The sequence below is a fragment of the Homo sapiens genome, chromosome 12 (genome assembly GCF_000001405.40).
Source record: "Homo sapiens chromosome 12, GRCh38.p14 Primary Assembly".
Classification (NCBI taxonomy): Eukaryota; Metazoa; Chordata; class Mammalia; order Primates; family Hominidae; genus Homo; species Homo sapiens.
The window spans coordinates 29,441,447-29,455,175 of NC_000012.12; the positions used below are offsets into that span (position 1 = coordinate 29,441,447).

General features: G+C 36.0%; 1 protein-coding gene and 1 long non-coding RNA gene across 11 annotated transcripts in view; one reads left to right on the plus strand and one right to left on the minus strand.

Annotated features, from left to right (window-relative positions):
* Positions 1 to 13,729, plus strand: part of OVCH1-AS1 (OVCH1 antisense RNA 1) — a 98,031-nt gene that overhangs the window by 52,153 nt on the left and 32,149 nt on the right. The window lies entirely within an intron of this gene.
* OVCH1 (ovochymase 1) overlaps positions 1 to 13,729 on the minus strand; it is a 95,519-nt gene that overhangs the window by 39,279 nt on the left and 42,511 nt on the right. For 2 of the 8 annotated variants that reach the window (XM_024448968.2, NM_001353179.2), the window contains exons 21-25: positions 13,395 to 13,487; positions 9,899 to 10,123; positions 3,832 to 3,957; positions 2,699 to 2,834; positions 1,915 to 2,054 (exon numbers count right to left, since the gene is read on the minus strand). In XM_024448968.2, coding sequence (XP_024304736.1) covers positions 1,915 to 2,054; positions 2,699 to 2,834; positions 3,832 to 3,957; positions 9,899 to 10,123; positions 13,395 to 13,487 — 720 coding nt within the window. Of the gene's footprint in view, positions 1 to 1,914; positions 2,055 to 2,698; positions 2,835 to 3,831; positions 4,206 to 5,878; positions 7,213 to 9,898; positions 10,124 to 13,394; positions 13,488 to 13,729 lie in introns of those variants that run through there. The other 6 variants (XM_047428780.1, XM_011520638.3, XM_047428778.1 and 3 more) reach the window with 5 other exon arrangements.

Here is a 13,729-nt window from a genome sequence, read left to right on the forward strand (position 1 = left end):
TACACCTTATACAAAAAATAATTCAAGATGGATTAAAGACTTACATGTTAGACCTAAAACCATAAAAAACCCTAGAACAAAACCTAGGCATTACCATTCAGGACATAGACATGGGCAAGGACTTCATGTCTAAAACACCAAAAGCAATGGCAACAAAAGCCAAAATTGACAAATGGGATCTAATTAAACTAAAGAGCTTCTGCACAGCAAAAGAAACTAACATCAGATTGAACAGGCAACCTACAAAATGGGAGAAAATTTTCGCAACCTACTCATCTGACAAAGGGCTAATATCCAGAATATACAATGAACTCAAACAAATTTACAAGAAAAAAACAAAGAACCCCATCAAAAAATGGGCAAAGGACATGAACAGACACTTCTCAAAAGAAGACATTTATGCAGCCAAAAAACACATGAAAAAATGCTCACCGTCACTGGCCATCAGAGAAATGCAAATCAAAACCACAATGAGATACCATCTCACACCAGTCAGAATGGCGATCATTAAAAAGTCAGGAAACAACAGGTGCTGGAGAGGATGTGGAGAAATAGGAACACTTTTACACTGTTGGTGGGACTGTAAACTAGTTCAACCATTGTGGAAGTCAGTGTGGCGATTCCTCAGGGATCTAGAACTAGAAATACCATTTGACCCAGCCATCCCATTACTGGGTATATACCCAAAGGACTATAAATCATGCTGCTACAAAGACACATGCACACGTATGTTTATTGCGGCACTATTCACAATAGCAAAGACTTGGAACCAAGCCAAATGTCCAACAATGATAGACCGGATCAAGAAAATGTGGCACATATACACCATGGAATATTATGCAGCCATAAAAAATGATGAGTTCATGTCCTTTGTAGGGACATGGATGAAATTGGAAATCATCATTCTCAGTAAACTATCTCAAGAACAAAAAACCAAACACCGCATATTCTCACTCTTAGGTGGGAACTGAACAATGAGAACACATGGACACAGGAAGGGGAACATCACACTCTGTGGACTGTTGTGGGGTGGGGGGAGGGGGGAGGGATAGCTTTAGGAGATATACCTAATGCTAAATGACGAGTTAATGGGTGCAGCACACCAGCATGGCACATGTATACATATGTAACTAACTGCACATTGTGCACTTGTACCCTAAAACTTGAAGTATAATAATAATAAAATAAAAAAAAATAAAAAAAAGAAATTTTATGATGGGGAAACTTCTACACAATTGTAATACCAAATTTAATAATCCTTTTCCTCTCTTTATGTTTTTCTCTTTATTTTATTAAGAATAGATCCATATACAACTAAGTAATGTCAGCTAAAGTATGAGATAAAATATGTTAAAATGCAAATATTTAGGAAATTCTGCCATCAAAGAGAAAAATAGGTATTTCAGTAGCATTTTTCTCATTGACAATTCTAGTATTTATCAACTTGTAAAGATGTTTTTCCCAAATTAAATAAAAACAACGATTTGTGCCAAAAAAAAAGAAAATAATGAGTTTAAATTAAAGTAACCAGGCTTCTAACTCCTACCAATTGATAAACTCATGTAATGCCTTTTGCTGTGATTATTTTGCCTTATTAATTTTATAGTCTTAATTTTCTTGTGTTTTTGTCTAAAACTGCTTCATTCATTCTTTATTTTTAGTATTTCTGAGCAATTTTAATCTAGGTATGATCCATGTAAGAAACGTTGTTGGACTTTGTTTTTAACTAAACCTGAGGAGATTTTATATCTTAATTTTAAATCTGACACAAGTTTAACAGTAAGTCTATTTCAACATCCTATAAGAAGAGACTAGTGTATGTCACATGTAAGCCACATACTGAATATGAAACAATCTAAACATGTTTCATCAGAGAAAAATCAGTAGCATAGAGATTCATGGGAAATCAGTTACCTATTAATTTTTTTCCTGGTCCAAATCCTTCGTAAACACGCAGATGACCATGACAGACAAAAGTTGTTGGCTTCATCGGGAAGTTAATAATATTAAGCTGAATGATGTGATTTAAAGGGGCTACTAATCTCCATTGGCAACTATGGCATAGATGAAACAAAGTCAGAAATTATTTCTAAACAGAATATATTGTTAGTTATTTTGCTCAGAAATTAATGCATCAATGTTATTGACCCCCAGTGAGCCTTATTTTTTGTGTCTGTTTCCTTATGGTTGTGAGAGAGAAAGATTTGTACTTTAAATTATATCAACTTTATTATCTAATACGTAATTTGCCAAAATTTATAAAGTTCATACATTATGAATGGCTGACCAATTGTGTGTATTGTTTTAAATTCTGATTGAAAATTTATAAGATCTGAAGGACCTATATGTGCCAGAATTTGCCCCAAACTCCCACACATCATTTATTAAGTATCTACTATGTACCCAAATATTTTACATACATTATATCAGCCTCCAACATTCTTTGTAAAGATTTGACTTTTCACTTTGCTAATACATGGTCTATTTTGTTGAGAAAGTACAATTGATAAACAAGGACATTCTTATATTGTTTTGTTTTGTTTCCATATTAAAAGCCATAGATTAGGGGTTACCTAAGAGTCTATTCTTTTTGGAAAAAAGGTGAAGAATAATGTTTTAAGCAAGTACCAAGTGTTGATGTCAGTCAAGCAATTTTTTCCACACACTTCTTCCATTATAATAATCATGACTTCCTTACCCCATAGTAGTTCTGTGAGAATTTCTTGGGATCTGCATGATCCCTTCTGGCTTGGTCAGAAGAACATCCTCACAAGGGACCAAGTGCTCTCTGTTTGAACTTTGGGAAAGTCTGGTTATTTTACTGTCCTTTGGACCTAAAAGAACAGGAAGCAGAGAAAATGAGAATAAAACCAATTTTTAACAGGCTTCCTATATGCCTTTTCAGATCAAGGTAAACAGCTCTCTTCCCTAATTGTCCTGGGAAAACAAGTAATTATTAGGAGGTGGTTGGTTTCACTGAAAATTTTCTCCGTCTTAAATATTCAAAAGGTATAGGAAACAAACACATCTCTCAGATGATCTCTGACATAGCCTAGGGTCTATGGAAGATTATAGGACACAGCTATAGATAATACCTGTTAACTGCCTAATTCCATCTGAAAGCAGTATTCTTAATATATTCTTCCAAGAGAAAACTTTCATATGATATAAATGCTTTATTACTTAATTAACTTTTTCCAAATATACAGTATACACAGGTCTAGAATAACATATTCTCAGCAATGCTTTTAGGTGCCAAGGGGGGAAACTAGCTTTCAGTTGTCTACATCAAGAATAAAAAAAAATCTCACTAATTACATATTCTAAAGTTCAATCTGACAACTCTGAATTACATTGTTTACATTTATAATACTAGAATCTAATATTTGTGTAGTTTGTTTTCAAAACTTACTCTAATCTTTTATTACATCACTAAAAGAAAATTCTAATCAGAGATAATAAATTGTCCAGAGCTAATCAGCCAGCTAAGATTTAGAACCCAAATCTTCTGAGCCACAAGAATTTACAGCTACAGAAAACATTCTTTGTGGTATAAAATTGCAACCACAGAAAAAAGTTATCTTGCAATGAACATATCTTAGCCATTTTCAGAAATCATATACAATTCAATCAAGTTATCCATTGAGCAGTTTCCCTTTTGGACCTGATCAAATCTTAGGTGACTTAAGTAGATTTTCCTTTCAAACATATACTCATTTCCCCACAGAAACATAATTTCTTTCAAAATGTTGTATATGTTTGGAAATATTCCTAAATAGAGTAATATTGATTTCTTTAGCCTTTACAAGTTTATAAAATAACCAAACATACCTAGGACTTTCAAGACAATATAGCTTATACCAAATGCACCTCGTACAAGGGCATGGAATGTCACCCTCACCAGCGGTCCAGGACTCATGAAAGTCATTGAGTAAAGTCTTCTTCCATGTAATCCACCTAGGTTAAAAAGTGAACTCTAGTAAAAAATAAGAATGAAAATTTGACAGCAGTTTCTGTATTTTAGGCCGAGCAATTAATTTAACCCACGAGGTAGGAATTGATTCCATTCTGTAAAATGATGAAACAGGACTCCAGAACATAAGTGACTCACTCAATGCCACAAACTAGCCGGGTGGGAAGCTAGGATCTTCAACTTGGGTCCATGTATCCAATATCCATCATTATCTACTATGTTGCAGTGCTTCCTGAAGGACAGTAGGTAGCAAATTATTTTATGTTTAAAATGACTGATGTGACCTTTTTCTCCTAGAAAAGTAACCTACTTATTAAAAATACCTCACCATGAAGATCTATGATGGAAAACATTTCCTACCTGAAAATTTATTATTTCCCTATAGTCAGTTTTTTATTGATTGCTTTGAGAACCTAAGTCAAAGATAGAAGGGAAAATTATAATCATAATTCTAAAATGATTCAGAGGGCTGATTAAGCATGTGTGGAAAGAACCTGTGAGTTTCTTAGGATCAAACTCTTCTAAACTAAGAATAATTCAGTATCATTTTTTAACATTTATTTAAATGTCACCTGCTCAGAGAGATACCTGCTGATTGTACTACATACAACTATGTGGCACTGACATCCCAGATACTTCTTTTCTCCTTTCCCATTTCATTTTTTCTTCCTTAGTTCTTCCATTTAAGATAGCATATATTTTATCTTATTATGTGTTTTCTCCCTGCTAGAATATAAGCTTGGTAAGGGCAGAAAATTTTATTTTTTTCACTACTGAATCCTCAGAACCAAGATGACTCAGTCCGTGGTCCATAGTAGGTTCTTCACAAATACTTGTAGGGATGAAAGGAAGGAGGAGATTAGAGCCAAGAAAGAGAAAAGAAGAAAAAGCATTCGTTGGCATTTTAAAGTATACAATGGTGAAATACTATTTGAAGAATGACCTAATATTTATTTGTAGCAAATAGAAGTGAATGTAACTTTTAAATGAATTGCTACCTTTAACAGGAAGAAATATAGCATTTTATAGTAAAGAATGCTATACAACTTAAGTAAAGAATAATATTTCTATTACAGTCTTGCTCTTATCCTAGATATAATCTGAAGGGACAGAACAATTCCACAAAGTTCAAGCTGACAATTTCAAAAATTAAAGAAATGCTAGGTTGGAAAATTATAGGGATTCCTCAGGTAATCTACAATGAAGTTAAGCATGGTTTTCAATAGGTAATAATGATAAAGGCAAGTTTCCCCAGAAAATGTGTCTCTCTGTATAATAATATAGTATATTATTGAAATAGTGCTATCAATTGGGAAGAAAAAGACTTTTTTCTTTTAAAGGAAGCAGGTATAGAGTCACTTTGCCATATGAGAAAATATATTTCAGCATGATTTTTAAAGTTTTTTTTTTATTAAAGATTCTGACCTCAGAATGCGGAATAAATTTTTAAGCATGAAAGCAATGAATTAAAAATCAAAGATCAAAGACATGTACGGATACATTTAAACAACTAAATTAAAAAATTTTTACATTAACATAATAAACAACACAAAAGCAAATGACAATACTAAGAATAAGCATTAGGAATAAATGACAAAGGAAAGCATTAAGAATAAACTTATAACAACATTAAGAATAAGCATTAAGAATAAACATGACAAAGGAAAATATCTTTGTATATAAAGCTCATAAAGCAATAAAAAGAATAATACTCAAATTTAAAAACTGGACAAAAGATAATGGCAATTAGTTTTAAAAAAACAAGCTGGGTACAGTAGCACATGCCAGGAATTTGGGAGGCTGAACTAGGAGGATCTTTTGAGCCCAGGAGTTTGAGACCAGCCTGGGCAAAATAGGGAGACACAGTCTTAAAACAAACAAACAAAAAAATAAAAGCAAAAAAGAAATTATCTCCATTAATGATTATTTTTAAAGGAAAATTGCCTATTAAATTGACATATTAGGTTCTGGGCATGGTGAAAGAAGATCCTAGGCACTGCTAATGGCAGTGAAAATTAAGTTAGCCTTTCTGAAGAGTAATTTAACTTCATGCAAAAAACAAACTCAGCAAAAATTCATGAAAAAGAAAACGGTCCGAGTCCCTAGGTGTTGACCTCATTTGGAAGTATACAGAAGGGAACAGAGAGAAAGGTCTCTGCTCTCATGAAGCTTTCATTTTAGTCAGGTAAATGAAGATGGTTTCATAGAGAGGTCAAAGTTACTGATGAAATGAAAGCCAATGTAACAGACAATGACTGTGGGAAGGAATGGATGATGCTGCTTTCATTTTAGTCAGGTAAATGAAGATGGTTTCATAGAGAGATCAAAGCTACTAATGAAATGAAAGCCAATGTAATAGACAATGACTGTGGGAAGGAATGGATGATGCTGCTTTAGACTGAGAGGCCCTCTTTCAGGAGGTGACTATTCTCTTGTTCATTTATTTGTGAAGTGCCTTCTATGTGTTGGGCACTGTTCTAGGCACTGAGGCTTCTTGATACAAACAGGCAAAAATTCCAGCTCTCATGAAACTCATACTCAATAGGGAAGCCACAGATAAGCCATAATCATGAAAAAATCATAATGTGTTAGATTCTAATCTTTTAACCCTGGACTTCAAACTTTTTGGCACCTGGCTTCGTGGGAGACAATTTTTCCACAAACAGTGGGAGGGATGGTTTTGGGATGAAAACTGTTCCATCTCAGATCATCAGGCACTAGATTATCATAAGGAGCAGGCATCCTAGATCCTTGGCATGTGCAATTCACATTCCTATGAGAATCTAATGCTGCCACTGATCTAACAAGAGGCAGAGCTCAGGTGGTAATGCTTGCCAGTTGTTCACCTCCTGCTGTGTGGCCTAGTTCCTAACAGGCCATGAGTTGGTAGTGGTCTGCGGCCCGGGGGTTGGGGACCCATGTGTTAGAAGATAATAAGTGCTCTAAGAAAAGGGAACTGAGAAGTCTGGAGGCAGGGGCGTGATACAACTTACATCAGTCAAGGTTGGTCTCATTAAGAAGGTGACATTCCATCAAGAATTGAAGGACATGAGGCACAAGGATGAGAAGGAGCTCTTCAAAGTGCTGGGAATAGACAATGGCCCCGAGGTAAGAATGAGAGGTATTGGGAACCCATGAGCTGATGGAGAGGCAGTCTTCCAGGGAGTGTGAATTTTATTCTAGCTGCAAGAAGCCCTGGAGCAGTTGTAATCAAAGGGGATGGAGGAGGTGATCTGATTCTAGGGGGAAAATGTGCCAAGCAGTTAGGCTAATTAATTGTGTCACTGTAGTCTAAATTAGGTTGTAATCATAAAGAAAGATTCTTTAAGCAAACATTTTTGCTTTCTAACCCAGTGATTTAATCTCTCAGAGTTTATCCTAAGAAAACAACCCCACCCTCAGAGCAGTTTCTCTGACCTCTATGCACTTCAGAATCAAGCATAAATATATACCACACACATGGACAATGACATACACAAATTTATTTTCTTTCCAGATTTCCCCATTAACCAAATTATTTCAATCACCTCCCACATCCCTCCTTACTGCAAGCCAAAAAGCTTTCATTACACCTGTGCAAACAGGAGGAAGCAAGTTTGTTCTGTTGAACAAAAAGAGGTTTCTCTGTACATGAAATTAAAAATGAGGGCTGGCATGTTTTCACCAAATCTTTTCAATCCTGCCACTTTAAAAGCCTTTAATGTATTTTGCTTTATTTTTTCATTCACCTTCCTCCCCTGCTCTATTTTTAACCATCTTCTGACTTGCTCTTTTACAATATATATTCTTCCAGCATTCTGGCATGGTTCCACTATGTTTGAAGAAGTTGAGCCCTCTTGCCTTTTTCCCCCCTCCCTACACACACACACACACACACACACACACACACACACACACACACTCAACCTTAAGTATATTCGCTTTCTCAATTCAAAGTACTTGAAAATGTTAAGGATTTTTTTTTTCTAATTCTGTGAAGAAAGCCGATGGTAGCTTGATGGGGATAGCATTGAATCTATAAATTACTTTGGGCAGTATGGCCATTTTCACAATATTGTTGCTTTCTATCCATGACCATGGAATGTTTTTCCACTTGTTTGTGTCCTCTCTCATTTCCTTGAGCAGTGGTTTGTAGTTCTCCTTGAAGAGGTCCTTCACATCCCTTGTAACTTGTATTCCTAGGTATTTTATTATCTTTATAGCAATTGTGAATGGGAGTTCACTCATGATTTGGCTGTTATATTGGTGTATAGAAATGCTTTTGAAAAATAAGCCTGTATAGCCAAGACAATCCTAAGCAAAAGGAACAAAGCTGGAGGCATCACACTACCTGATTTCAAACTATACTGCAAGGCTACAGTAACCAAAACAGCATGGTACTGGTACCAAAACAGATATATAGACCAATGGAAGAGAACAGAGGCCTCAGAAATAATGCCACACATCTACAACCATCTGATCTTTGACAAACCTGACAAAAACAAGCAATGAGGAAAGGATTCCCTATTTAATAAATGGTGCTGGGAAAACTGGCTAGCCATATGCAGAAAACTGAAACTGGACCCCTTCCTCCTTACATCTTATACAAAAATTAACGCAAGATGGATTAAAGACTTAAACGTAAGACCTAAAACCCTAAAAACCCTAGAAGAAAACCTAGGCAATACCATTCAGAACATAGGCATGGGCAAAGACTTCATGACTGAAACACCAAAAGCAATGGCAACAAAAGTCAAAATTGACAAATAGGATCTAATTAAACTAAAGAGCTTCCGTACAGCAAAAGAAACTCATCAGAGTGAACAGGCAACCTACAGAATGGGAGAAAATTTTTGCAATCTACCCATCTGACAAAGGGCTAATATCCAGAATCTACAAGGAACTTAAACAAATTCACAAGAAAAAAATAAATAATCCCATCAAAAAGTGGGCAAAGGATATGAACAGACATTTCTCAAAAGAAGACATTTATGTGGCCAACAAACATTTGAAAAAAAGCTCAACATCGCTAGTCATTAGAGAAATGCAAATTAAAACCACAATAAGATACCATCTCACTCCAGTTAGAATGGCGATTATTAAAAAGTCAGGAAACAACAGATGCTGGAGAGGATGTGGAAAAATAGAAATGCTTTTACACTGTTGGTAGGAGTGTAAATTCGTTCAACCATTGTAGAATACAGTGTCGCGATTCCTCAAGGATCTAGAACCAGAAATACCTTTTGACCCAGCGATCCCATTCCTGGGTATATACCCAAAGGATTATAAATCATTCTGCTATAAAGACACATGCACATGTATGTTTATTGCAGCACTCTTCACAATAGCAAACACTTGGAATCAACCCAAATGCCCATCAATGATAGACTGGTTAAAGAAAATGTGGCACATATACACCATGTTATACTATACAGCCATAAAAAAGGATAAGTTTATGTCCTTTACAGGGACATGGATGAAGCCGGAAACCATAATTCTCAGCAAGCTAACACAAGAACAGAAAACCAAACACCGCATGTTCTCACTCATAAGTGGGAGTTGAACAACGAGAACACATGGACACAGGGAGGGGAACATCACACACTGGGGCCTGTTGGGGGGTGGGGGGCTAGGGGAGGGATAGCACTAGGAGAAGTAACTAATGTAGATGACAGGCTTATAGTTGCAGCAAACCACCACGGCACGTGTATACCTTTGTAACAAACCTGCATGTTCTGCACATGTAACCCAGAACTTAAAGTATAATCATAATAATAATAATAATAATAAAGAAAATGTTAAGTGTGTTTACAAGGGAAAAAGCATTCCTATTACATGGATCAACATTTTGGTAACATTATTACCAAGTCAGACTCATTCCTGATCATAAGCTGCCTACATGGACCAAGACTCCTAGCACGAAGTTTATATGCCAGGAAGGATTACCTGCCGTCTTTCTCTTACTGTGTCTTTCTTCATAAATAATTAGAACTGAGTCTTGACACACAGGAGACCCCAGGAGTGACAGATACTCAATGGTAAATTTTGCCATACTGCTTGCTGAAACTCTGAGCACCCAAGAACATTCCAGTCTTCCTCTATAATCCAGTAGATACCGTGGTGTGGGAAAAAAGCCTCTAGGCTTTTCTAGCTCTGCTTCAGAGCAACAACCTGCAATTCAGAACACACAGACACCAGGGACCAACATAAATAAAGCAAAGAAAAACCAGATTCTATCACAAGACTGAAAAATCTAGGCTTGCAAGGAGAAAATTAAGACTTTGTTACTGTCAGTTACAAATTATTCTGTTAGAAAACCATTCTATTTAATGTGTCTTATTTTCTTGAAATGATATTATAGAGGTAGAATTTAAATCACAATTATTTTGAATCAGTTTTAAATGAATTTTTAAAGTTTCTTAGAAAATAGACAGTAGGTTGCATTCTCTATACCCAGCAGATTTTCATTTTCTTCCTCCTTTGAGATGCAGCTGAAGACCTGTTCCTCAAAGCTTCACTAAATTAGCTGAACTTGCTGGGACAAATGATTACATTCATTTGAGCTTGTGACTGAGGTCATGAAAAAGATAACTTGCTGGATATACTGAGATGTCTCACTTCTTCAGCTTGCTAAGTCCAAGGGCACCTTTGGACCTTTGGGATACCTCCTGCAGTTTGGGTGCCAGTTTTTCCATGGCCCGCTGACTCAGCAATCAGCTTCTCTTATGTCCTCATCAGGGCTTCGTCCTTAACTCTCTCTTCTTCCTTTATGTCTATTCCTTTGACAAAAACTTTCTAAGCAATTAAAAAATGAAATATTCTATATTCATATTTTAATGTATGTGTTAGTGAATACATAATTATGCATGCTCTGCCCTAGAGAAATTAATACTGTACCTGAGGAGGAGGTACGTAAACATGCTTTTATTCACAGTAGAGGTGAAAAGTAGAATAAGGGAAATGAAGTGCTACAAAAACTTAGGATTCTATTCTATTGTTTGGTTCTCTGTCATTTCTTTGTTAGTCCTCTTTTTTTATCTGTACAGCTACAAGAACCAATCAGATATTTAACATTTTGATTTAATAGTAAACTAAATGATTTTTCAGTCTATAATCTTCCCTCGCCTTGCCCTACCATCTGGGAATGGTGTATAAAACAAAAAAAATCAAATTGTTTTCCTGCTGAAAGCAACTGAAGTAGTTCAGCTTGCAAGATCTTTCAGAGTCTGGCCTCAGCCTGTCTTTCTAATCTTTTTAGTTTTTCTCCCTCTCTATATGAATCCTCTGTGAAAAATCTGACCAGAAATCACATACAGCCATGAATTACCAACAAGTCAAGACTTTTTATAAATGGGAGTAACAATTGAAAGAAACCATTGCTAAGATTCATTAATTCCCTAGTGTAAAAAGTTAGTAGCGGGAGTGGGTGGGTGTTAAATATGGCATGGTCCTAACATTTTGTCTCCGAAAATAATCATAGAATAAAAACAAAGCAACACCTTTCCGTATATAAAACTTTCAAAGTTTTTGGCGTGCATAACCATTTCTGAACATATTTAAAAGAGAAACATTTTCTTTACATTTTAACAATGTTCATTTTCTAATGGTCTGAATAAGGTCATTCAAAAAATACATTAGATGGCACTGTCACCACCATTTATGGACCCTTATCTCAGGTCAGACCCTTCCTGTTATAAATGCCTTACATGGATTAACCTATTTAGGCACTCACTGAATTCATTCATTTAACTCAGTCCATTGAAATCAATAGTTTATAGGATCTTGGACCCAAGTCTGCTCTCTGTCTCAATCCCAAGTCCAGATTTACTTTTAACCTAACTCTATGTATCCCCAGCTTTGACTCTTTGACTCATGTTGCCAGACAAATGGTCCTGGGTCCACTCCTTATTCCTGGAAGATTTTAGCGGTCATTTTCTCCAACACTTTTCCTGTCATAATTCTTTCTGAATTCAATCACTATATACATGATGATTCCAGCACTGAAGTTTCCCAGCTCCTCAATTTTCCTCCAGTGATCTTGTATTCCACCTGACCTCAGCCACTTATCCTTATGGTCAGCCCCTAGACACTTGATCAGTAGCAATAACTCCAAGCCTTCTGTAATCTCGGTTTCAGGAACCATTTTCTCCAACCACAACCTTCCATCTTTTCAGCCTCCCTTAATACTCCTTCCACCTTTTGGGACTCATAATTTATCTATCCTACCTTATTTTTGTCCCAAACAAATCTCTCATCCTTATTTCACTCCTTACCCATCCTAAATTCCAATGATCCATCATTTTAACCACTTTTTCACATACACTCTGAATTCCCTTATACCCTTCACATACTTGGGGATACTCCACTTTGATTAAGTCTACCCTCTACCTACTCTGCATCTACCTCAGTGCATCCAGAGGAAAACATACAACTAAGCTAACTGGGGGCATTTTGCTCTCTCAATTTATGATCATTCATCTCAGGGGGCCTTTATGCTACCCAGCAATCCTACTATATCTTTCTAGTTCACTATGTCATTTTCTCGAGAAATATGTCATCCTTTTTTCTCTTAAAAATCAAACTTTCTTGAACAACCGCTTCTTTTTGTTCATCTGCTAAGAAAAAGAAGCCATCAGAAGAGAAATTCCACAGGCTCCGATCTCCATCTATTCCCAAACACCTCATACCTGCACCGGTGCCTCAAGATCCTGCCTTCCATCAGTTAACTATAGATGATATGTACTTTGCTCCTAAGACCATCGCCTCCTTTTGGGTACTAGATCTCATCTTCTTTCTTCTACTCAAAGTCATCACTCTTGCAATTCTACCTTCTATATCTTACATTTTCTTTAAACTCTTACTAGTTGTTTACTGGGGTTGAATGTATTGGGGAAGATGTGGGCAACAAAAGAAAGACTGACCATTTGGAAACCAAGAGTGATAATAAAATAGAACTTCCATCTTCCTACAAGTCTATTAGAGATTTCAAATCCTCCATTGCTGTTAGTTTTGACTAAAAATCAAAATCCTCTTTTATCAAACAGAGAGTGGCAACTGTGGAAGAATGAAGAGAAATACTAATGCTGGCGCTAGTCTTGGTCATCTCATACCCAGGGTCTTTACCTAGGCAAGATACTTGCATATAGAAGGACTTTTATTCAGATTCAGAGCTTAAAATAATTCTATGTAATTCTCCAATATTCAAGCACTGGTTCACAACCACAAGATTTTTTTAAAAATCTGCAACAGGTCTAGCTTTGGGGTAGGAATGATCTCCAACAATCTTAATAACAACTCTCCCCACTTTCAGCTAAAACTACCAACCAGAAGGAAAACACAGAGGTTATAGTGTTCCATAGAAAATTTAGCAAAGCTAGACAGACAATGCTTCTTGCCAAATTCTGGCTGAAAGTATTAATGGGATAATGTAAACATTTATTACCTGGCCAAGATGCACTGTCTGGTGAAGGTGTGGGTGGTGGCAATTGTTGTTTTAAGGTTTTGCATTTATTATTTGTCTGAAGTGAAGCAGGACCTGTATTTGGGGAGAACATGTTAAAAATAAAGATGAAAGCCTGAGAACAAAATATAGTGGGCACTAAAGCAGCCACTATCAAAAGAAACAAAAAAGAAACAAATCCAGGATTAAAGCAGCCTAAGGAAAAGTCAGTTTAACTCTACACATGGGAGAACTTATTTTGCAGAATCTTGCATTTTAGTGTGTTTAGTAACTAAATGAAATTCTACTCTATGGTTTTCTCTTTCATGCTAATTTAT